General features: G+C 35.4%; 1 protein-coding gene across 7 annotated transcripts in view, besides 1 other annotated feature; it reads left to right on the top strand.

Annotated features, from left to right (window-relative positions):
* The window catches only part of KCNK2 (potassium two pore domain channel subfamily K member 2), a 231,549-nt gene that overhangs the window by 123,494 nt on the left and 81,749 nt on the right, over positions 1–26,306 (top strand). The gene's annotated exons all lie outside the window — the stretch shown is intronic.
* Positions 22,719–23,256: an enhancer, noted in NCBI's record as "NANOG hESC enhancer chr1:215325097-215325634 (GRCh37/hg19 assembly coordinates)". NCBI's record gives its function as "activates a minimal SCP1, AML or CMV promoter by ChIP-STARR-seq in primed H9 embryonic stem cells {active_cell/tissue: H9 hESC(primed)}" and the evidence as "EXISTENCE:reporter gene assay evidence [ECO:0000049][PMID:30033119]".

Here is a 26,306-nt window from a genome sequence, read left to right on the forward strand (position 1 = left end):
ATGTATTGACTGGGATGATTGGAGTTGGTGTGGAAGGACAGGAGTAACCACAAAATGTCGAAATAATTAGATACAAGAATCAATAGGCCTTGGTGACTAATAGAATGAAGAGACAAGAGTCAAAATATTGAAAGTGAAGTGAGTATTTAGGCAGCAGTCTTGTAACTCATGGACAGTGCTAGTTGATTTTTTTTGTGAGAAAGGAGTAAAAATATGGCCAAGATTTTATATGTTGTATTATTTTAGGAAGATTCATTTTAGTCATTCCCTTCTCCCCCTACCCCCATTTTTTGTTTGTTTGTTTGTTTCTTCTTGAATTCAGCAAGACTAGAAATATTGGGGTTGAAGAAACCAATGATCAATCAGTACATTAAAAACAAGACCATGAATGATTGCAATAAATGTAGCAAAAGAAACTCATGACAGAGAGTAGATGATGGAGCCAGAGTAAGGAGTGGGAGGTGTTCTAAAGAGGCTGATTCAAGAACTCTCTGAGGAGGTGACATTTAAGCTGAACCCTGAATGATGAAAATAAATCAGCTATGTAAAGAAAAGTGGAAAGATTAATGAAGGCAAAGGGCACAACAATGCAAAGATCTGGGTGGGACAGATTTTGGCATGTTCAAAGAATACAGATGAGGCAGTGCCTGGGGGACTGGAGGAAGGGGAGCCGGAGAAAGAAGTGAGGTTAGAGAGATAAGAGGCAGCAAGATCATGTAGGACTCTATAGGTCCTGGTAACATTCTAAATTCAGTAGGCAGCCACTGAAAGATTTAAGCAAAAGACAAACAAGCATGATGTGATGCTGGCTGTCATTCAGAAGGCAAAAGCTGAAGCAGAAGACCATTGAAAAATGTGGTATAATACAAAAATATATTTGGTCTTTGACCCAGGTTCTTGGCCCAGAGCTCCTAGAAACCTTGGGATTTTCTGAGTGATGGGAATGTCTTCTGTTATTCAAAACAAGCCTCTTTCAACCATGTCTGAGTTTATGCTAATGAGGTGACTACTGGTGGGCTGCTAGATAGCTTCAAGATGGGGGCTAATAGCCAGAGAAACCAACCATGTGATTATCAGATTGGAACTTTCAGCCTCACTCCCAGGACTCTGGGGAGGGAAGAATGGCCAGAGGTTGAGTTTAATCACCAATGGCCAATTATTTAATCGTCAGGCCTACTTCATGAAAGCTCCATAAAATCCCCTAAATGATGGAGTTCAGAGAGCTTCTGGGTTGGTGAATACTGGTGGTGGGAGGGTAGTATGGTGGGGGAAGCTGTGGAACATAGAAGCTCCGTACCCCCTACTTCTACGCATACCCAAATGCATCTCTTCCATTTGGCTGTTCCTAAATTATATCCTTTATGATAGACAGCATTAGTAAGGAAAATGCTTTCCAGAGTTCTGTGAATCTTTCTAGGGAGTTAACCAATCTGAGGAGAGGTCCTAGGAACCCCTGAATTTGCAGTTGGCCAGGCAGAAAGAAATGTGAGCAGCACAGCATGCCATTTGCTACTGGTGTCTGACTTGGAAGCTGTCCTGTGGACTGAGCTCTTAATCTGTAGGTCTGGACTCCTACAGAATTGAATTGAATTGTTGTTGTTAGAGAATCAGAGAACTGGGTGGAGGAAACATCTCACAGACTTGTTAATCTATTAATCCATATGGGAAAAGATGTTGACTTGAACTAAGGAGGTAGCAGTGAGGAGGGTGAAAGGTGGACAGATATGTGGTCTTAAAAAAAGTTTACAGATGGAGATATACTCCTCTCAGAATAATGCTTTAGAGGGCTTAGCGTTTAATTTTTAAGTTTTTTTTATTTTTATTTATTTATTTATTTATTTTTGAGACGGAGTCCCGCTCTTTAGCCTAGGCCGGATTGCAGTGGCACAATCTCGGCTCACTGCAAGCTCCGCCTCCCAGGTTCACGCCATTCTCCTGCCTCAGCCTCCCGAGTAGCTGGGACTACAGGCGCCCGCCACTGCGCCCGGCTAATTTTTTGTATTTTTAGTAGAGACGGGGTTTCACCGTGTTAGCCAAGATGGTCTCGATCTCCTGACCTTGTGATCCGCCCGCCTCGGCCTCCCAAAGTGCTGGGATTACAGGCGTGAGCCACCGCGCCCAGCAAGTTTTTTTTATTTTTAAGTTTTTTTTTAATCTTATCAGTTAAACTATGGGAAAGGCAGTTGGCAAAAATGACGTATGGACAACTGTATTCTATTTCAAGACCAATTTAAAGATTAGAATAAAATGTAAGAAGATTTTATTACTTGGAAGCATTAAAATTATAATTTTTATAATTATATAAATATAATATCAATTTATTATATATTACATATTAATTTTATTGATATAGTAATATGTAATTAGTATATTTATATTTTATATAATTATATTATTATGTATTATATTCATATATTATTTTATATAAATTATATATTGATATTAATGTATGCAAATTATTAATATATAAAATTATATTAATTATAATTATATATTAATCTAGTTATATGTTAATATAATTTAATATAATTATATTTAAAACAATAAAATATTCTCCAGTGGAAAGTAAACTGCAATGTCAGGGTTAGGAGTTGCCTGCATTTATCACTCAATTATTATATCTGAGTGTCAGAATGCAAATAACAAGAAGGCCACTATGGTCTACAGTGACTTTAAGATACCAAAGCATTTCTCTTCAGTCTTAATGAAAAACTTAATTTTTCCTTAGAGCAACATTTCTCATATTTTCAAATGACTCTTATTTTCTATCACCGGAGTGTAGAGATTGAATTTGGCTAAACAGTTTCTGTGATTTTCTGTTTGTATTTTTGTTTCTATATTTTGAACCTGCCACTGGGGCTTTCAGTTGGCTTTTACCTAGATTGAATTGCTAAAGCTATTATGATAACAATCACAGACTTACTGCAAACTTGTATTTTTCCAGTTTGGTATAATGCTTAAGTAATTACGAAAACAAAACAAAACAAAAAAACACCAGGAAGAAAATTAAAAGTTTGCAGTAATTTTAACAAGCAATTCCAGATAAAAAGGAGTCACTTTTGGAAATACAGAAAGTATACTGAACACCGCAAAGCCTATGCTTGTTTTCAGCAGGGAGTCTAATACCTTTCTTTCTGTTGGATGTGGGACAAAACTATAACTTGAAAGGATGAGGAAAAATTGTGTTTTCTGTTCAACTTTATGACCACAGAAGCCACTGCCTGAACTTGGAAATGAATGGACCTGAAGCAGTGGTGTGGAATTTGTCAGTAAGCCTTTTCCCAAAGGATGTCGTCATTGTAGCTCTGCCTGTTGGGTGCTAACTTATTAACTTAGTACACTCATAACTCTGTGGCATTTCACTAGTCTCTTGCATGTTCTCAGAGAATTGTGTATTGGATTTTGGGAGTCCATTGAGGTTCTCTCAGGCAGCTTAAAAGACAATGAATTTTGCAAGGTGACTTCCAGTTCCTACTCTACAATCTCATTGCATTTTTCTTTATGCAAGCTCGTGAAAGTAGATGATTATTTTTCCAAAATATGTACTTTCAGTATTGTGTATTTGAAATACAAAAATTGAAATTAAATTTGGGTCTTTTATTTTGTGTTATTTATCCCATCTACTTAAATTAATGAAAACAAAACCCATATCGGAATATTATTAGTAACGTTTGCTCCTGCCACTCAAAAATCTTCATGTAGGCTTATTTATTTTCTAAGTTAAAATGTGTTTCTCAGAGAAAATTTCTTATGAATGATAGCTAAGTTGGCAGAGTGAAAAAGTATATTTGATAGGGAATAAAGCTGAATTACTACATAAATAGTATTGTAGACTCCAAAGCAATAATGAAATAGATTAGTCTTCTCTTCTCATTGCCTATGTATGTTACATCAGGCAAGAAGAGCACCTAGTACCCAGAATCCTGTGCTAGCTGTAAAGGGATTTGAGAACATTAGGGATATAATCTTCCCAGAAGTTAGGCATAATTTGTTTTGTTTTGGGTTTTTTTGTTTGTTTTTGGTAACAGGAGAAAACATAACAATATATTATAGATCTAACAGAAGCTTCAGCAAGAGAAAGTTTGCATATTGGGTAGCAGCATCATAGTTGCCCATATCTCTAGTGTAATTCAAGTCAGGAATTGCTTGTATTCTGAAACAAAACACACTTTCACCCATTCCTGAATAATTTTGAAAAGTTTTCAATAGCATATTTTAATCGTCTGAAAAGCAATCACTGTTAAATGTTGTGATCTTGAAATTATCCAAAAATTGGAAGCAAGGAATAGTCATGAAGTTCATGCCCTGAATAAATACAGAACCTATTTTTTCTTGTCATTCCCCCTTCCTAACTTCTGAAATGCAGAGCTGTTCATTCTAGATTATAGATTTTGCAGAGCATCTGACTGACCACCAGACATCCAAGTATTGCTCTGAATGTGATTAAAACTAGGTGTAATGATTATCAGAAACTTTTTTTCTATGTGTCTCGGGTGTTTTGTTTGATAAGAAAGGAATGTGGCAATGTTCAGGCCTGTCTACTTTCAGCTGGTAATTAGGCTGCATGTTTGTTTTCTTCCTAATTCTTTTTTTTTTTTTAATTTTAGACTTGTGCAATCTTACTTACTCTTGGAAAATTGGCATTGTTATTTATGTGGTAGGGTGCATATTGCATGATGTTTACAAAAAAAGTACCTGTGCCAAATGAAGTTCATGTTTAACTATTGTGGTTTATGTGCACCTAAAGTACAATGCTGACGTGACTTATTCCAAATGGAAAGGAATTCCATACAGCCAACTCTTGGTTCTAACAGAGCATTGGGAGGACTAGTGATGATATGAACTACTGAAAGCCACAGGTTATCCAAAAATGCACATTAATTGCTAATCTTAAATTTCTTCCCCTTCCAACTTTAATTTTAAAGCAAAAACAACAAACAAGAGGCCAAGTTTGGTTGGTGTGTCCTACCTCTCCCCTCTAGGCGTAAATATCCCTTATTGAAGATGCTAACAAAGAGTGAAATTGCCAAAGCCAAGCAGTTAGAGAAGAAAAAATGAAAGTAAGGGTGTAAAAGAAAAAAAAAATTCTCCCACTGTGTTCTTACGACTTGACACAGGGCATTTCTGACACCAGATGTGTGGGATTTTTCTGCAGTTCTCCACTGGACACCAGCTGGGTTTCCTCTACTTCAATTCAATTCTGACACTGTCTACCTGGAATTAGCATCAGATCCCACAGGTGAAGGGCTCAGTCCCGCAAGACTGTCCCCACTCCACATGCTGGTCACAAGTTCGAGCCTCCCTGGGTTTCATCTGGAGCAGCTCACAGAACTCAGGGAATAGTTTACTGACATTTACCAGTTTATTACAAAGGGTATTACAAGGGATACAGATGAAAGACATACATAGGGAAAGGGATGTAGGAAGGGGTGAGGAGGTTCCACAACCTCTCTGGGATACATCCATGTGTTCTGCAACCCCAAAGCTCTCCAAACCCCATAGTTCAGAGATTTTTATGAAAGCTTCATCATCTAAGTGTGGTTGATTATCAGTCTCCAGTTCTTCTCACCTTTCTGGAGAATTGCGATGGGGCTGAAAGTTCCAAACTTGTAGTCATGGCTTGTTTTTTTTCTGGTGACCAGCCGCCATCCTGAAGCTATCCAGGAACCCAGTAAGAATCACCTCATTAGAACAAAAGATGCTCCTATCACCCAGGAAATTCTAAGGGATTGGAGCTCTGTGTCAAGAACCAGGATCAAAGACCGATTATTAGAATAAAAGATCCTCCTAGTAACCCTTTTGCTCTAGAAATTACAAGGGTTTTAGGGGGCTCTGTGCCAGGAACTTGGGATGAAGACCTATATATATATATATTTCTTATTATAAATTATAGTATCATGAGGAATATGAAATAAGTCATATTCAGCCTAAATAGCCTATGTTTAAAGCATACATGTTTTAATAGATAATTTCAGTGGTACCTGTAGACAACTTTGTGAAGCTATGTTTTAACTTGATGGAAAAAAAGACTGCAGACATGACCTCCTAATTAGCATTATACTACAACTAAAATCATGTGCTGTACATATTGATGCAGACTAGTTTTGCTTATGCTGCTTAGAAGGAAAATAACTCTACATTTTTTTAAAGGAGTGATACAGTACAAGGAACATCAGATTTCACTTCAGAAAACTTAGGTTCAGGGTTTTGTCTTTGCCACTAGCTAGGCAAAGCTAGTGTGATTCTGGGCAAATCACAGTTCTATTATCCTTAATTTTCTCATTTGTCAACTGGGGCTAGTATTTCTCAAGAGTTGTGAAGACTAAATGAGGCTGCATATATGAAAATAGTTTGTATATTGAATGACTGTATACTAATTTTTAGGGTAAGCTAACTTTATTATTGACTAATTTTTATTATTTTATTATTAGTGTAAGCCAATATTATTTTTTACATATTTATTTCTGCCACTAATATTTAAAAAATAAAATTGATTGTTTCTTATAGCTTTAATTCATACCCCTAATTTTTATAATATAAAAATTAAAAAAAAAATTGTTTAGCATAGTTTGAATGTACAAAATTCAGTCCCAAACCAGTTATTCCCACAAGACTGTGTCACACTTGACTATTTCTTCACCTAGTTAATTTTTATTTTAATTTAATGAAATGGCCAACCAGTTATTTTTTATTTTATTTATTTATTTATTTATTTTTGAGATGGAGTCTTGCTCTGTCACCCAGGCTGGAGCACAGTGGCGTGATCTCGGCTCACTGCAACCTCCGCCTCCTGGGTTCAAGCAATTCTCCTGCCTCAGCCTCCCGAGTAGCTGGGACTACAGGCACGTGCCAGCATGCCCAGCTAATTTTTGTATTTTTAGTAGAGACGGGGTTTCACCATGTTGGCCAGGATGTTCTCAATCTCTTGACCTCATGATCCACCCACCTCAGCCTCCCGAAGTGCTGGGATTACAGGCGTTAGCCACCGTGCCTGGCCTACCAACCAGTTATTTTAATGATATTTAGATAATCCAAAATGTGATCATTCAAAATAGTGTATAATGTTACCACCTTTTTTTTACTTCTGGAGGCAGAGTCTCACTCTGTCGCCCAGGTGTAGCATGACCCCGGTTCACTTCAACCTCCACCTCCTAGGTTCAAGTGATTCTCCTGCCTCAATCTCCTGAGTAGCTAGGACTACAGGTGTGTGCCACCATGTCCAGCTAATTTTTTATATTTTTAGTAGAGTCAGGGTCTCATCATGTTGCCCAGGCTTGTCTCGAACTCCTGAGCTCAAGCAGTCCACCCACCGTCGGCCTCTCAAAGTGCTAGGATTACAGGTGTGAGCCACCATGCCTGGCCTCAAAATAGCATATAATGTTATCTTGAGGTATTTCTTTTAATTAACCAAGCATAATAAAGATTAATATTAGTATAAACCTTTTTAAATGATTTTTTAAAATCTATGCTCTTATATTAGTTAGGATATGCTAAGATATATTCTGTGACAATTCCCATATCATGATGGCCTTACAAAAGTCTATTTCTTGTTTACAGTCAGTGTCCAGTGTGGATAGGCAGGAGGGTTCTCCTCATTGTACTCGCTAAGAGACCTTTGCAGGTGGTGTTCCAGGTTCTTCCATGATCCCTGTGGCTTAGGGACCAGAATGAGGCACATTGAACACCGGCTGATAAAGCTTTATACAAGTGCACATGTTGTTTTCACTCATATGACATTGGCCAAACCAACTTCAAGGGTGCTCAAGTGAAGCAGGATATCTGATGACAGCCTTGATGACTTCCATAATCTTTTTGTAAACACGTATACTAATATTATACCCTCCTTTAATGTTATTCAATATCCAAAGTCATTTAACATGATAAAAAACTGTATTTTATATTTTAATTTGCTTTTCCAAACTGTGTCTTCTTAACTTTATTAATGCCAAAAAAATTTAATTTTTTCCATGTAATATTGACTCCTATTGTGTTATTGAAGGGGATTATGTTTCAAAAGTACCTTCCTAGATGATGGTTTCATCAGTGAAATTGTCTCAAAATAAAAATGAAAATTAATATGTAACAGTTTTATCATAGGTTTTTGGCAGAGATTTTGCTGTTATTGGTGATGATATTACTTAGGGTTTCCATTAGCATTTAGAGTATTGTACCAATGATCACTTAACAAGGTCAATATCACGATGATAAAAACATTCAAACTATTTAGGAAAATAAGTTAAAAGATTTAGGTCATTTATTTCATAAAGGTGATAATTCAGGGTCAGAAAACTATAACCCATGAGCAAAATCAAGCATGTCACCTGTTTTATGTAATTATTAGAACACAGCCATGCCCATTTGTTTTGTATTGACTTTGGCTGCCTTCATGCTATAATGGCAGAATCAAATACTTACAGCAGAGACCGTATGGCCTCCAAAGCTGAAAATATTTACTATCAGTTCCTTTACAGAAAAAGTTTGCCAAATACTGGACTAAAGGAAAGAATGTAAGGTGAAGAAAAATAAGATTTATAAATAGAATACCTGATTTGAATCCTGATTCTAATATTTTTTCACTTTGTGCTTTTGACCAGGTCATTGAACTTTTCCGAGTTATTTACTTCCTTCAGGTGAATAGTCTAAATGACTTTCTAATAGATGAATGATAATAATTGCACTTGCTATCTCACAGGGTTTTGTGAAAACTCAAAAGGATAATGTATTTAACAGTGGTAAATAACCTAATTACTATGCAAATAAAATTTCTCATTTTTAAATAAGCTGCTGTATTTGTTTTTCCCTGTTTTTCATCGAAGATTGAAATAAGGTTTGTGACTCAATTTTTATGAACTATTGGAAGACAGCTGGATAAGCTTTAAGAGCCTGAAATCATGTTCTGAAGAGAGGGTCCACAGCACATATCAGATTCTCAAAGGGGTCCATAAACCACAAAAGGGTTTAGAACCATTGGCTTGTATAATTTGTTTTAATTTTCAGATTGATAAAAAGTGCAATTTTGTGCTACTTCAAAAATTGAGAGAAAATACTGTATTAGAAACGTAGTAACATGTTCCAATGTAGGTGCTAGCAGACAAAATAACTGCTTCAAAAACTGAGTATATAGGGCTCAGACGGAAACCACAGGGAAATGTATTTCTAAAAATAAGAAAATCTCATTCTACTGCTTAGCTCTGGGTGATGTTATAGTGTCAGATATTTTCAGTACTCCTCTCCTGCAGATTCTGAGTTGTTTTCTGTAAATATGATACAAAATGTTACATTTAAGAAAACTAGAGTGCTACCAATCTCAAGCCATGACATTCTGGTTTAAAAAATTCAGACTTTGGGGGAAAAATTTCAAGAAAATGAAATCTAAGTGTCAGAAAAAGGGATCACTATATTTTTAGAGGAAAAAATCAGGGGATAGAAATTGTGGGTGTATAGACCAGGTACAGCGGCTCACTCTTATAATCCCATCACTTCGGGAGGCCAAGAATTGCTGAGTTCAGGAGTTTGAGACCAGCCTGGGCAACATTGCAAGATCCTTGTCTCTACAAAAGAAAAAATAATTAGCCGAGCATGGTGGCTACAGTGAGCCATAATCATGCCACTGCACTCCAACCTGGGCAACAGCGGGAGACCCTGTCTCAAAAAAGAAAATTATGAGTTTATGATAATAGAAAGGAGATTGTTATGATAAAGCCACTCTTGATGTGGATGATGAGAGAAAGAAAAGTAATAGCATAGACTTGATTGCAAATCACTTCGCATACACTCTTTGTCTTTCTACAGTATTTCCTGGCTGACTTTTATAAATGTTTGCTGAAAGTCCAAAGATGTGCAGTGCTGGTTATCTTTTTAAATTCATGGAAACTCTAGGAAGGGCATATAAATCAAGGCAACTTAAGATAGGTGCTTTGCTTATGTTAATGCAGAAAGAAAATCATATTCTTTCACATGGCAACTTTGGGCATACAAATAGTGAGGAATTAATAGCATACTCATTTAAAATAAAATACTATATGCTTTTATTAAAAATTAATAAGGAGTGTCTATACATCATTAAGCAATAAGAAACAAACAAGCAGTGTAAAGAATGTAGAGTGACAGGTAAGTCTTCCTCCTGCAGCTGATCCTTCAGTGTCTCATCCCCTACAGAGTCAAATATGATTACCATTTCTTATCATTCTAGGAATCATTTATGTATGGATATGTGTGTGTGAAAGTGTGTGTGTCTATAATTAATATAGATACATTCCTTTGTTATACAAGTGAAGCTCACTATATCTTGCTACCTCCACATAATAAGAGGTCATGAAATTTTAAAAAATCATTCGTTGAAGATTTGCTTTATTGTTTTAGCAGCTACATAGTTTTCCTTTTAGGCATAGGTCATAATTTCATGAATCCCATGTTGATGACCATTTTTTGTTTGCAATGGGTATTTTTTAAAAAAATATATACATGGCTGGGTGTGGTGGCTCACAGCTGTAATCCCAACACTTTGGGAGGCCAAGGTGGGTGGATCACCTGAGATCAGCAGTTTGAGACCAGCCTAACCAACATGGTGAAATCCCATCTCTACTAAAAATACAAAATTAGCTGGACTTGGTGGTGCATGCCTGCAATCCCAGCTATTTGGGGGACTGAGGCAGGAGAATTGCTTGAACCCAGGAGGTGGAGGTTCAAAAAAAAAGTATATGTATGGTATGACATATATATGTATGAGTTAATCCAGTACCAGTTTTTAATGCCTTTTTCCCCGATTTTTAAAAATATTATGAGGTGACTTGTTATCAAAGTATATATATAGATTGGTCTTTTCTCATATATGGTAATATGTGATTAACATAAAAATAGAATAATACAGAAGTGTATAAAAAAGGGAAATAACTAGATAGGACCATGTTTCTTTTACAGTGATTTTCCTATGTATAGTTGACTTAGTTGATATTATACCATAATCACTGATTTTTAGAGATATTTAACATGCCAGTATCATTGGTCTTTATGGATGTTATAAATTTGAGTTTGCTGGCATAAGTATCTGTCTTTCATTGACTTATTAGGCTTCAAAATGAAAACATAAAAATAAACAATGACTCAGGTATTATAATATGAACTTCACTGATACAGAAAGCCATTACTTGTCATTTACAGTGGCTACTAGTTATACTGTCTGTCTTTACTTTTCTAAGGGGGAAAAAAGTTTTGTTGACTCATTCTTTAGGCAAGGTGATTCAGTCATCTAAATTGTTGTATCATCCAATGTGAGATCCAATATATGTCACTTAAACTGTGAGAAAAACAGTGTGATGTGCCATATACAGTCATGTGTCACTTATCGACAGTGACATTTCCTGAAAAATGTGTCATTCAGCAACTTCCTCACTGTGCAAACATCATGGAGTGAACTTACACAAACCTAGATGTACACACCTAGGCTATCTGCTATAGCCTATTGCTTCTAGGCTACAGACAGGTGCAGCATGTTACTGTACTAAGTACTGTAGGCAAGTGTTAGATAATGGTAAGTATTTGTGTATCTAAACATACCTAAACATAGAAAAGATGCACAAAATAAATGGTATAAAAGATTTTTTAAAAATAGTACACTTGTGTAGGGACTTACCATAAATGAGTCTTGTGGGACTGGAAGTTGCTTTCATGGGTCAGTGAGTGAGTGGTGAGTGATTGTAAAGGCCGAGGACATTGGTGCACAATACTGTAGACTTTAAAAAACACTCTTCACTTAGGCTGCACTAAATTTATGAAAAATATTTTTCTCTCTTCAATAATAAATTAGCTTTCCATAACTGTTTTACTTTATAAACTTTTTAATGTTTTTGAGCTTTTTAATTCTTTTGTAATAATACTTAGCTTAAAATTCATTTTACAGCTGTACAAAAATATTTTATTTACATTCTTATTTTATATGCTTTTTTTCTATTAATTTTTAAAAACTTTTTCAATATTTTTGTTAAAAGCCAAGACACAAACACACACACTAGCCTAGACCTACACAGGGTTAGGATCATCAATATCACTGTGTTCCACCTCCGTATTTTTTCCCACTGGAAAGTCTTTATTGATAACATGCATGGAGCTGTCATCTCCTATGATAACAATAACTTCTCCTAGAATATCTATTACGGTTAACGTTTTTTCTTATAAGTAGAAGGAGTACAATCTAAAATAATAATAAAAGGTATAATATAGTAAATACATAAACCAGTACCATAGTAACTTTTTCTATCATCAGGTTTTATGTACTGTACATAATTGTACGTGCTGTACTTTTATATAATGAGAAGTGCAGTAGATTTTCTATATCAGCATCACCACAAACGTGGGTAATATGTTGTTCTATGATGTCACTAGACGATAGGAATTTTTCAGCTCTGTTATAATCTTTTGAGACTGCTGTTGTATATGTGGTCTATCTGTGACCAAATGTTACGCAGCACATGACTGTATCTTGTTATTCTGAAGATTTATCTCACGATTAGTTTATATAACCCTCAGATACTTTTCTTAAATGAAGGTACATAGGTGCAATAAATATTTCATACTTGCAAATGGCTTTCTCTTGCTTTCACACATGAAAGCTAATTTGGCTGGGTATAAAATTCTGGGATCACAACTTTTCCTACCACAACTCTATAAATTGTTCTTTATTGTCTCCTGGCAACTGCAGGGAGAAGTTTGATATTAACCTGAATTTCTTCTTTTATTAGTAATCTATTTTCCAACTAACTGCTGTTTTCATTTTTTAAGAGATTTTTTAAAAATCCTGCACTTATTCCAGTTAATTCGTTGTTTTTAGAGAAAGTTTTCTATTACATTATAGTTTCAGCTATTCTATGCTGATGGTTCTGCCTTTCCATCTTCAAAGACGCTGGAAAATTTTCTGTTGCTTTCGTATCCTCAGTTCTGTCTATATTTCATTTGTCTTTTGAAATTCTTTCTTCCATTACTTTTTTTCTGTAATTCTGGGAAATCTTTTATATTCTGTGAGCTGCATCACTGACTTGAGTTTGTACTATTTCTCTTCTACTCCTTAATTACATTGAATACAGATTTTAATTTTGCAATTGCATATTCAGTTTCCTTTCAATCATCTATTTTTTTACTCATCTCTTTTCCTAATTTTGTCTTTAAATCACAGTGAATTTATTTTTTGTTGGCTTTACGTTTTATTCTCTCCTGTTGTGATTTCCAAACATATTCTGGGTCCTGCAGTATACTATTTTTGGAGACATGCTCTTTTGAATCATTCTTCCATTTCCTCACAAAATATTTACAGAGTTTTCATGGAACAACTTCTACATGGTTGGAGTACATAATCTAGAAGTATTATATTAAAATAGACAAAAATTTAGTTAGAAACTTAATAGGAAAGTAAGTAATATAGCATGTTATGTGTTAATTATATAGCTTTGGGGAAAACTGAACAGCAAAATAGACTGGGAATGAGAGGAACAATTTTAATGGAGTCTAAAAGGTGATCTTTCTTTTCTGTTTTTTTACGTTACTTGTTTTTACTTTGGATTGGTGTTTCTAATTTGTGGACAGACAGTGAAGTTGGAGCCTCAAATGTTCTTTCTACTTGATTCAATGTGAGCAGGCTCAGTAGTGGAATAGCATAGTTATAGTTGGTTGCCAATGAGTGCATTTCAGTCTACTTTCTTCTGCTGAGTATAAAATTTTCCATATTCTCTCTCTGTAGGCTCTGAATTGTTATGGAAATGAAGAAATATTTTTTTTTTCTAGCTGCTTTTCTTAGTTGTCTTTGAAAGTTGTTTTGTTGATTTCTTGCTAAAATCCTGGGTTCCAGCATTTGCTTTTCTAATAGACTAAATTTAGGATGAAGGATGTAATCTGAGGTAGTCATCATAGCTGTGAAGAGATTACAGAAAGGGGAAAACACACTAAGAGTCCACATTTAGAGCAAGGGTGGGCCTTCTCATAATTATCTTTTTTGTGTTTGTACTTCACTTCAAGATCAAATGAGAAAGTGTGTAGGAAACTAAGGTGCGAAGACGAAGTGTGATGTGGAATAGTGGCTTTCATATTTCTTCTCTGCCTCCCAGGCCCTAGAATCCTTTTTTTTAAATTGAATTTCTAACATGTATAAAACAGATAAATAGATCTATTTGTGCATGTGCTATGCGTGTGTGTGTCTGTGTAAGTGTATCTGTGGTGAGGCAGAAGTGGAAGTGTTTTGTATCCAAGGGAAGGCTGCCTGTTTCTATAGGAGGGCAGGACTTTGAGGTCACACAGATTTGCCTTTGTACACTGGCTGGGCCACTTTTGATTTGCCCTTAACATTGTAGGCCTTGGTATCAGTGGGTTTTAAAATGTCATAGGTCAGAAAAATTATGGCATTAGATTGAAAGACTTGCCTTTTGTATGGTCTCTTGTGTAACAGTATTTAGCATGTGGTATGTGCCAGGTTTTAAGTGTTTTACATATGTTATGAAATTTCATTCTTATAACAACCCTATAAGGTGGTTGTTTCCATTATTCACATTTTTGGATAAGTACGCCAAAGCATTGAGAAATTAAACAATGTGCCTAATCATGCAGCAGGCACATGCCATTGTGGTGTTTTAAGCCTACAGAGCCTAGCTTGTAGTGTTGGCACTTATAACCTCTTAACTCTGACCTCTGCCTCTAGTGGCCAGGGGAGCCAGACCTGTATTGAATTACATTTTGAAAAATGTAGAGTATCTATGTTGTACCACAAATTTTAAGTGAACTGATGATATATGTTCGCCTTTCCTCCTAATGGTTTAGGGACTTAGTTCTAAGACCCTATCTTTCTAAGTGGAAGGGCTATGCCATTGTTGCCTTTGGAAAACACTTTCTACAAGTAAAAATCGTCACCTTTGGAAAATTACTGTCTACAAGTAATTTGCAAGAAATCAGTATGAAAAACACTGGACTATATCTCTGATGTGTCTCCCAACACTTTGTTTACTTGTAAATATTGAATTAAGTAAAGTATATCTGCCTTTACCATGTGTGAGAAAACCTTGTATGATATTTAGGCTAAATGGCATTACTCTTTTGATGCTGAGGGTACAGTTTTTAAAAATGTAAACATATGCCCTTTTTTCTAATGTGTATCTTTTAAAAACTAAGATACAGAAATAAATTATTTTGAAGATATTTGTCAAAATAAAAGTGTACATGGGAGCCGAATCCCATACCAGAGATGAATTTTAAAAATGGTAATGGATATTGCATTAAATTGAGTTTAATCGATGCCCCTTAATGGTTTTAGTGATGTAGCCTTTCATCTAAATGACCCAACTTCAGCTGTCATCACTCAGATTCAGGATCTGTATAGTTACACATCATTCAGGTGGGTTGGCTGTCACTTGCTTTCTCTCTCCTGTCTGAGACAGACAGTAGTTGATGAGTTTTGAATTGCTACCACAAGGTAATAGTCAAGGCACGGCTCGTTCCTTACACCCTTATTTCAAGTAAAATTATATTCAATATAGACAGTCAGTACTTGAAAACCTTGAGTTTTATCTCTTCAATCTATTCTGCCTTATTGCCACCAATATTTCATTTTTTTTGGCCTCAGTTTTCCACTTTGTGTAGTGATGGGGTCAGAATTCTATTGGCTGTGTCTATGCTTACATTTAATGATTTTGCTTAAAAAATTCAGAGGCTTTTCCCACCTCAGTTCGTGGTGGTTTATATTGTGAATATAAAAATTAATAGGCCATCTTAAACAAGATACGGTCGAGCAATTCTGTGAGGGATGTCAAAGTTAACGCCTTCAAAATAACAGGCTTTGCTGTCATAAAATTATTATACCACTTACTAATGAAGGATTAAATATTCTCACAGCTGCTAATGTCTGTTTGGCTAGGAGAATGAAAGGTGAACAGTAATTTAGAGCACTTCATTTCACAGATTATTTGACTGAATATCAAGTAGCTGTTTTCTATGGTTGCGTATTCTGCAAAGTGAAGAGTGTGAAAAGAGAATTTTGACTCAACCACTCCTTACTTGAAATATGTTTCAGGAGAGAAAGTGCTATCATCATTAGCATCATCATCATTGCCACCATTATTTTTTATTGACATCAGACCCTTATTCTGAGCTTCAGTGGTACTACCTGAGCTATGCTTGGTGGCCATGAAAGTGACTTTAGCTGGCTGATACTCATGGACTGCTTACTATGTGGCATGCTTCATGCTAAGTTCTTTATGTTTGTTATATTATGTATTCCTTTTACTGTTTTATACATGGGGAGACTGAGGCACATAGCAGTGTGTAACTTTCTCAGTGACAGAGTAGCAGAGCTAGGATTTAAACCAAGACACCTGGGCTCTAGAGCCTGAAGTCTTAACTGCTATGCTACGTTACCTTCAGTACACTTGAAAATAAATTTGAATAAGTCTATTTGCAGTTGAGAAAAATTACTGTGAATCAAAGATAGCATGGATTTCTTGGCACTTTAGATTACTTATGTCCACCAAGATCCAGCTTTCTAAAATGAAAAAAATATATGTTATGTCTAATGTGTTACTTTAGGACAATTTGATGACAGAGGAATTATATAGTTCTATCAGTTTACTGCTATAGTAGACTTTTATTTATTGATTTTATGGTTTATTGTTTGATGCCAAGTCTGGTCAGGAATACAACATCAAATTATATTGGAAAAGTCTTTTAACAATACTCTTTAAAGTGTGATTTCCAGAAAGTGCTTTGTGATAGAAGTTCAGATTCCTAATTTATGATCTCTTTCAATACACAGGAAAACTTAAGTTACTCAAATTTTGTGCTAAGAAATAGTTCTCCATTTCCTTAATGCTACAGAATTATTTTTCTTCTCCTCTTGGAATAAGAGGAGAATCAGATCATCAGTATTTAAATAACACATGAATTTACAGCAATTGACAGAAATATAATTTTATTACGCCTTGAACAGTTCTCTCTTGATTGGCTTGAGCTTCAGATAAAATAGTTGGCCAATATTTAGTGCTCGTGTTTTATTAACAAAATGCATATCTTTAAACACTCGAAATGAAATCCAGAATAGTTAAATATTCTCACTGTGAGACACTTGTGGAGCCTGAGAAGGACTATGAGAACAGCATGCATTTCAAATGTATTCAGGAAACAGCTGGGAAAGTTTGGAAACAATCTACAGGTAGATTATTATTGTTCTTTGGCAAAATTTCTTTGCAAAGGAATAGCCCTTCAACGTTTAGCTGCAATTCTAGGTTATATGAATGTATCTTGCTACCAAAAAATGTTTGGTAGAAGCTCATTCAAAAAATAACATAAGAAACTTGTAACTTCCTATAGATTTTGAAATTTACAACTGTCATGTAGGATTTTATTATGTAAGTTGCAACTAAAAATAGCAAGGGAGCCATCTTGTGAAATACTGTTTGAACTGCAGGCGCGGTTGTTTCTGGGCCAAGAGGAAGTTTGATCACTTAAAGTTGACACAAAATGTCAAAACATCCCTTTGATTTACCTACTTTAATCAATGCATTTGTTTTGATGCACCTATATATACATACTTTCCCAGTCTGACAAGGTAAAACAGTGCATATTTGCAGAATGGCATGTCCCAAACCAGATTTATATGTTGTAGTTATGCAACTGAGAAAAACGCTAAGTTTGAGGACCCATATCTCTCGCCTTAATCTCAAACACTTGCTCCAAGCAACTGAATTAATAGTTTAAATCTCAGCTTTAACATTTAACAATTGTTTAACTTTGTACACATTACTTCACTTCAGTAAATCTCACTTTCCACATTCAGAGAGTGGGGATAACTAGTTGTACTTAAACCTCGTAGGATTGTTGAGCAAGTTAAAATAAGCGTACACATGAAGGGATCAGCATGGTATCTGATATGCAGTGAGATTGTGAGCATTCAAGAAATATTCGCAATTACCCTTTTTATTGGTAATGAAAATTATTTTATTATTGATGAAAATATAGTAATAGAGTGATGTCATAGCTGTCTAGAAGAGATAAATCTAATCAATATTGTTCTATGTACAAAGAGACAGAGGCAGGTTTACCTCGAGACTGAAAATTAAGACTCCTCATTTGTATGGGTCTTCTTTTTAATTTTTATTCATTTTTTTTCCTACAGAGCCTCATATAGCTTGCGACCCATAAACCTTGCATCTATGACAGGGGCATGAATCAGAATCACCTCTGTAGGTATTTTAAAATGCACATGTACCATCCTCCCTTTCCAGAAGAAAATAATTTAGTTGTTCTGAAGTGGATTTTTAAAGTTCCATATATGATTTTGCTATGGATCCTTAGTTTAAAACTGGTGTTATAGAGGAACAGTGTACGATGTGTGAAAATTCTAAAATGAACAGATCTTTTCACAAAGATATTGTCTTGTAATTAGAATCATATTTTTCTGGAATCATATTTCTTCTTCAGTGTTTGATTAGGCTCTTTCCTCTGCATAACAGTAGCTTTGACTCACTTTTCTAAAAACACGAGATGTGGCCTGGCGCAGTGGCTCATGCCTGTAATCCCAGCACTTTGGGAAGCTGAGGCGGGCGGATCACCTGAGGTCAGAAATTCGGGACCAGCCTGGCCAACATGGTGAGACCCTGTCTATACTAACAAAAACACAAACATTAGCTGGGTGTGGTGGCAGGTGCCTGTAATCTGAGCTACTTGGGAGGCTGAGGTAGGATAATTGCTTGAACTCAGGAAATGGAAGTTGCAGTGAGCTGAGATTGCACCATTGCACTCCAGCCTGGGTGACAGAGTGAGACTCTGTCTCAAAAAACAAAAAACAAACAAACAAAAACACGAGATGTGATTGTCATTTCACTCTGATTTCTAAAAGGTTTGCTCTTTTTAGGTTGCTTATTGAGGGCATCTCCTAAATGTATGTTGCTCTTTTTTCTCATCCTACTTTCAACTCTTTTGCCCTGTATTATTAATGTTGTTTTTCTGCCTCTAAAGTAATTTAAATGGTTCTGTATTGAAATGATATTTTAATTATTATTTTTTTATTTTCTTTTCCTTTTTTTTTTTTTTTTTTGGCAGGGTCTTGCTCTGTTGCCCAGGCGGGAGATGCAGTGGTGTGATCATGGCTCACTGCAGCCTCAACTTCATGAGCTCAAGCAATCCTCCCACCTTAGCCTCTTGAGCTACTGGGACTGCAGGTGCATACCACCACACCTGGCTAATTTTTTTTTTCAAAGATGGGGTTTCTCCACGTTGCCCAGGCTGGTCTTGAACTCCTGGGCTCAAGTGATCCACCTGCCTCAACCTCCCAAAGTGCTGAGATTACAGGCATGACCCACCATGCCTGTACATTAATTATTTTTAAGGGTGTTTTTTTTAAATATGTACGTATCAATAATTTTGCTTTTCCTTGCTGTCCAGAATAAAATAAAAATGAGTACAAGTAATTAGAACAGTAGAACTATCTAGATCTGAATATGTCTATTCAATTAAAATATGCGGTATTAATAAAAACCTATAGATTGCTCTTTTCAATTCAGCATATTTTCTTGCATATCTGCTCTGAGCAAATCCCTATACAAGATATATAAAGGAAAGAAAAATAATTCCCAGAGATTCTCTGCTCCCAACAAGTTTATGATTAAGAAGAGAGACAAAGCCTGTAACCGAATGATGAGAGTTCACGTTAGAGTAATACATAGTTCCTCTAATGGCAGAAAAGTACTATGTATGTTGAAAGAAGGCAAGATCACAGCTGGTTGAAAGGGTAAGGAATGACTGTGTGTGAAAGTGGTGTGAGGTGGGAGGAAAGGACAGACAGGATTTCAACACGATAATTGAAGGTCCACCCTTGTGTCAGCTAGAGGGAGAAAACAACATAAAAATGAAGGAATCGGGAAAGTTCAGCTTATTTTTTTCAGCGAGTAATGATGACTCTGAAGTTTCTAAAAGGTAGAGAGCAATGGTACACCGGGGAGTCTTGGCACAAGGGGAGTGATGATTTGTGCTGAACGATTTTGGAACACTTAAGGGTTTTGAAACTACAGAATATCAAAACTGAAGCTGCGCTTTAGAAAGAGTTGGTTATTAGGAGATGGATTTGTGTGAGAAAAAACACAGACAGGCTGTTTTAATGCTTTGAGGTAGTGGCGGTGGAACTGCTAGGAAGCAGGGAAGGAGAATGGAGGGGTTGTGGTGGTAAGGAGGTCTGCCTCATTGCCTACAAAGCCTTCTGTCGTCTGAGGATGAGTGAGATTCAGGAGCTCTGGCCCTGTGGTGACAATTTATGTTATTTAAACATAATCAAATGGTGGTGATAGATGCCATGAGTGTTCGGGAGAAGGAAAAGATTAAGGTATTCCCCAGAGCACACAGAGTTAGGAGACTTCCTCGGCACATCTGTCAGTGGGCATAGGGATGCTGGAGAAGAGACAATCTTCTATGAAAAGATACTTTATGAAGAAAGTGTTGTAATGCAACCCATGAGGTGTTAAAGAAAAAGGTCACTAACAAAGAATGGCAAGACAAAGTGAGTTATGGCCATAGTTATCTGCTAGCCTTTCGCTAAGGTCAAAACTCTGAATTACTAAAGGGAGGAACATGAAATAAGCTAGTACGATTATTTTTAAAGGAAGCATGCTAATCAGAAGTTAACTCAATAAGTACGAAGTGCAGATAAAACTCATGTGCAGAAGAGATTTTGAAAGATAATCAGGAGTCACTAGTGGGATATCTTCATGTAATATTTTTCTTAACCCCACCATTTCAGTGAAGGCCACATTGAAAAGCTGTTTGACAATTAGGTCCACACTCTGAAACTTTATCAGGTATTCTTGAAAACCTCAACATTCAAGATGAGAGACTGCCTGAGTAGAATGAAGAGAGGGCTACCACGAAGCATAGACTGTAGGAAGATAACTTTAGGAAGCATTTAGGTATTGTTTAGATATCCAGTGGGAATACCAGGGCTATCATGATGACTAAAACATGGCCCCTGACCTTACGGAACTTCTGATTATAGAACTGATCGTTATGATCTAGTAAGATCAGTCTTAGTAAAGGGAACCCTGCATGCAGGAGGGGTTCAGATCCAGTCTTGGGACTATGTATTGAGGGCTTAAAGATGGCTTCTTGGAGAATTGATATCTAACCCAAGTAACAACAAAATAATTCTTAGGCATGAGCCAGGTAAGAGCAGGGGGCATGGGAGAATGTGCATTTGAAGCAAGGAAAGTAACATAATCAGAGGGGACCAATAGGGAAATATTTCGGTTTGGTTAACTTATTTGTATTCTATTTGTTATCTTATGTGTATTTTGCCTGTTGCTTGTTTTCACATAGGGTGAATTTTTTTTCTCTGAAAGAGTAATCAATTTCTCCATCACTATTAATTGAATAATTGTTTAATTTCCAACGTTTGTGATGTTTTTAAATGTAATGATACGTTTAAAAATTAGTATGCAGCATTTCTGACCTTATTCTGTTCTTTTCTGCTTCATTTCATCCCATTCTACACTAGCTCAAGCTGTTCTCTAAAATTCTTGCATATAACTTACAACGATTACTTTTAGGTAATTTTTATATTTCCCTTAATATCATGAATAAATATTTTTCCATTTCACTTAGCACATTTAAGATAATGCTAAAATATTATAATGATGTTGTTTTCCATATTTTAATCATGCATTCAGCTATTTTACTAAGCTTTTCTTTATTCATCTTCCAATTTTCTTTATTCAATTTTCAATATTCTCCTTTATTTACTAGGTATTTAATTCCACGCACAACTAATATATTTGTCTCCTTCTTTAAAATAATTATATTTTTATTTCTTTTCTTTCATTATACCTGCTAGAACTTTCAGAGTAATGATAAAAATAGTTGTAAAATGGATATCATTTTTCCTGATTTTAAGAGAATTCATCCAGTTGTGCTGTAATATTGAATATGATATTAAATACTTTGAGATAGATATTCTTTGTCATGATAAAATAATTTTATATTTCTAGTTTTTAAAGAAATAAAAGAAGTAGTACAGACTATTGTCCAATGTCTTCTTGATCTATAAATGTAATATATTTATAGGTATTCTTTTCTCTCATTATTTTGCTATTGGTTAATATTTCAAATGTGTAGAAGTGTCTAGAGAAAAAAATATTGCACATCTACCTTTATCAGATGTTAACATTGCTTCATGCTGTTTTGTTGTTATTATTGAACAAAACACAATATAGACAGTTGAAGGCCCTTCCAATCTCATTGAGTAGGCCACCCTTATTCATTGGTTAGTTCATCCTCCTAATTTTGGTAGAATCTGATGCCTGCAAATATGTTTAGTTCTGTTTCTGAGCTCTTTATTCTTTTGGATTGGTCTGCCTCTCTCTGTTCAGTACCCTGTCCAATACCATATTGTCTTAATCATATTGCTTTTTAATTGCTAATGTGAATCTTGATATCATGTAAGGCAAATCTTTTGACTTCATTATTTTTTGTCCATTTTAAAAACATTTATAGATGATTTTTATATAAGTTCATGAAGTTCCACTAAAAACAATTCCAAAATATTTATTGTAAAGTGCATTATATTTATGCATAGATTTGATAAAAATTGATACCTCTTCATTCCTCCAGGTCTTTTTTTATGTCATTCATTTTGGAACTTTCGTTTGTAATTTTATCCATACAGTACTTTCATATTATTGTATTTATTCTTATAAATCTTTGTTGCTGTTGAGGTTTTTTTGTTTGTTTTTTATTATATTTGTGATGGTTATTTCTGGGAGTGTAGGAATGTTGTAGTGTGGGGAATAAGAACCCAGGAATTTTAGCCTAACCATGCTTACCTTACTTATTGAACGTCTACATCTTTTTAACTCTTGTCCATTACTTCATGAAATTATTCTCATTTACAGTAATTCTTCTTCTAAGTGTTGATTGTATTTACCTTTGTAAGCATTTGATTTATTCATGGACTTTTTGTTTAGAGGCTTATGTTGAGTAGGATGGCTTTTGTTCCATTCTTTTGTTCACACTCCTTTAACTCCTCACTCCTCATTTATCCTTAGATCCTTGCAGAATTCCCTGATATAGTACATTAACATTTTTTGTCCCAGTATGGAGTTATTTCAAGGCTTGTCTTGAATTTGTTCTACTCTCAGTGCCTAAATGCTGCATACTGAGAGCCGTGTGGCCTCTGAGTAGATAGAACATTTTAGTAGAACTAACTTAGGGATAAATTATGATGGAGGTAGAGAAAATGAGACATATGGCACTACCAGAAAATGCACCACAACTGATAGTAGAGAAATGCAAAAACAGTTTCCTCTCCACTTCCTAGTTGGCTTGCTCTTGAGTTTCAGAGATCACAGTCATCAGGAGCCCAAAATTATACTGTCCCAGCTATTTAAGTGCAGTGTTTTAATGAGAATGTTTCTCATATGCATGCTGTCTTCCCTGGTTTTCAGTGTAGTAAATCTTTGTCTCTTTGTGTGCCTTCATTAATGGTATAAAGAAAAGCCAGTGGGTGGCATATTTAGCTGATTTTACTATTAATTTTGAAAATTTTGTATCAGCAGTTTCTTCATCTGAGTTTCCTCAGTAACTAGCATGGTGATTGGCAAGTGGTATTCAATGAAAATTTTTTAATTGAACAGAAATCTTATTGATTGCTGTAGTGATATTTGATTTGTTTCTATGTATAGCTTAGTACTTTATGATATAGAGTAACATAATAGTATGCACTTTTTTTCTTATCTAAAATTTCTTTCCATGAGATTGGAGTAATAGAGTTCTACCTCCCACATGTTTAGTCAGAGTTACTTACATGTTTTTAAAAATGTGTTTAATTCTAGAAGGGTCTATACCAACGCAATTTTAATTTATTGTTGCTTTTATCATTACTATTGTCAATAAATGTAACAATAAACTACTGCCTCCACATTTGAAGCTGGCTAAGAGATTCAAGATTTTCAGGAACTTCCTATTAGTCAAATAGAACTCTTCAATCCAGAGTATATAAACTGCACCCAACAAGTCTAAACAGTTTAACTCTGTGACTTAATTTCAGTAAATCTCACATAGAGGGTAGAAAGGCTGCTATTATCCAAAAGTGTTGCTTACTACAAGTTTAGCCTGACATCTTTCAGTGGAGGTGAACTTGTTTGTAAAAGTCAGCTATTTGATAGGCTTTCATTAAGTATCCCAAGTAAACATAAACAAAAACGTATGTGGGGTTTGTCAATTTATCATTATGGGTGTCTGAAATTTCTCAGTAACTAGGTATATTCTTAAGTCACGATCCAAGGTTTAAATAACTGTGGTGGAAGACTAAATTAGGAGAATATCTCAAATCACAAGTGCAAACATGATGGATCTGGGCCATCTTCAGTCCTGAAAATGAAATGAAAGCTTAGCTTTTTGATCAAAAAGAGTCCTGGTAGGACCAATTACAGAGATGTCTGGGTCTTTCTTTACTGTCTCTTGGCAAAATCATTAGGCCTTTGCATGCTGTTTACGTTCTTCTTTCGATATATAGCGTTGTTATATATATATATATATTTTTTTTTCTCTGACATCTCTTTTTAAAGTCTAATTTAATTTTTTTTAAATTTTACTTTAAGTTCCGGGATACGTGTGCAGAACGTGCAGGTTCGTTACATAGGTATACGTGTGCCATGGTGGTTTGCTGCACCTATGGACCTGTCCTCTAAAATTCCCTCCCCTCACTCCCCACCCTCCAACAGGCCCTGGTGTGTGCTGTTCCCCTCCCCGTGTCCATGTGTTCTCACTGTTCAACTCCCACTTATGAGTGAGAACATGTGTTTGGTTTTCTGTTCCCGTGTTAGTTTGCTGAGAATGATGGCTTTCAGCTTCATCCATGTTCCTGCAAAGGACATGATCTCATTCCTTTTTAATGGCTGCATAGTTTCTATGGTATGTATGTACCACATTTTCTTTATCCAGTCTATCATTGATGGGCATTTGGGTTGGTTCCATGACTTTGCTATTGTAAATAATGCTGCAATAAACATATGTGTGCAAGTGTCTTTATAGTAGAATGATTTATATTCCTTTGGATATATACCCAGTAATGGAATTGCTGGGTCAAATGTTAATTTATGATTCTACATCCTTGAGGAATCGCCACACTGTCTGCCACAATGGTTGAACTAATTTACCGTCTCACCAACCTGTAAAAGTGTCCCTATTTCTCCTTAGCCTTGTGAGCATCTATTGTTTCTTGACTTTTGAATAATCGCCATTCTGACTGGCATGAGATGGTATCTCACTGTGGTTTTGATTTGCATTTCTCTAATGGTCAGTGATGTTGAGCTTTTTTTCATATGTGTGTTAGCTGTATAAATGTCTTCTTTTGAGAAGTGTCTTTGCCCACTTTTTGATGGGTTTTTTTTTTTCTTGTAAATTTGTTTAAGTTCATTTTAGATTCTGGATATTAGACCTTTGTCAGATGGGTAGATTGCAAAAATTTCCTCCCATTCTGTAGGTTGCTTGTTCACTCTGATGATAGTTTCTTTTGTTGTGTAGAAGCTCTTTAGTTTAATTATATCTCATTTGTCAATTTTGGTATTTGTTGCAATTGCTTTTGGCATTTTTGTCTTGAAATCTTTGCCCATGCCTATGTCCTCAATGGTATTGCCTAGGTTTTCTTCTAGGGTTTTTATGGTTTTTGGTCTTACGTTTAAGTCTTTAATCCATCTTGAGTTAATTTTTGTATAAGGTGTAAAGAAGGGGTCCAGTTTCAGTTTTCTGCATATGGCTAGCCAGTTTTCCCAGCACCATCTATTGAATAGGCGATCCTTCCCCATTTCTTTTATTGTCAGATTTGTCGAAGATCAGATGGTTGTAGATGTGTGGTGCTATTTCTGAGGTCTCTATTCTGTTCCATTGGCCTGTATGTCTGTTTTGGTACCAGCACTGTTATATTTTTAGTATTCATATTTATCCTTTGTTTTCTTTATGGCTCTTACCTAGTAGTTACATTTAAAGAATTATTCTCTTGTCCTTTTTTCATAATATTTTACAGTCATGTTTTTAAATATTTGATGATTTAATCCATCTGATAATATTTAGTGTATAATGTGAGATAAAGACACAGTTTATTTTGAAGTAGCCTACTACTTTCCCCATCACTATTTAGTGAATAATCAACTCTTTTAAAATGACTTAGAATATCATATTTATCAAATATTAAATTCATTTACATACTGGAGTCCTTTTTATGCTTTATATTGTTTTCATTCATTAATTTGCTTCATAACTTAATTTTTAAAACTGTTGATAACATCTTTATAATTTGG

The sequence above is a fragment of the Homo sapiens genome, chromosome 1, assembly GCF_000001405.40.
Source record: "Homo sapiens chromosome 1, GRCh38.p14 Primary Assembly".
NCBI classification, from domain to species: Eukaryota; Metazoa; Chordata; class Mammalia; order Primates; family Hominidae; genus Homo; species Homo sapiens.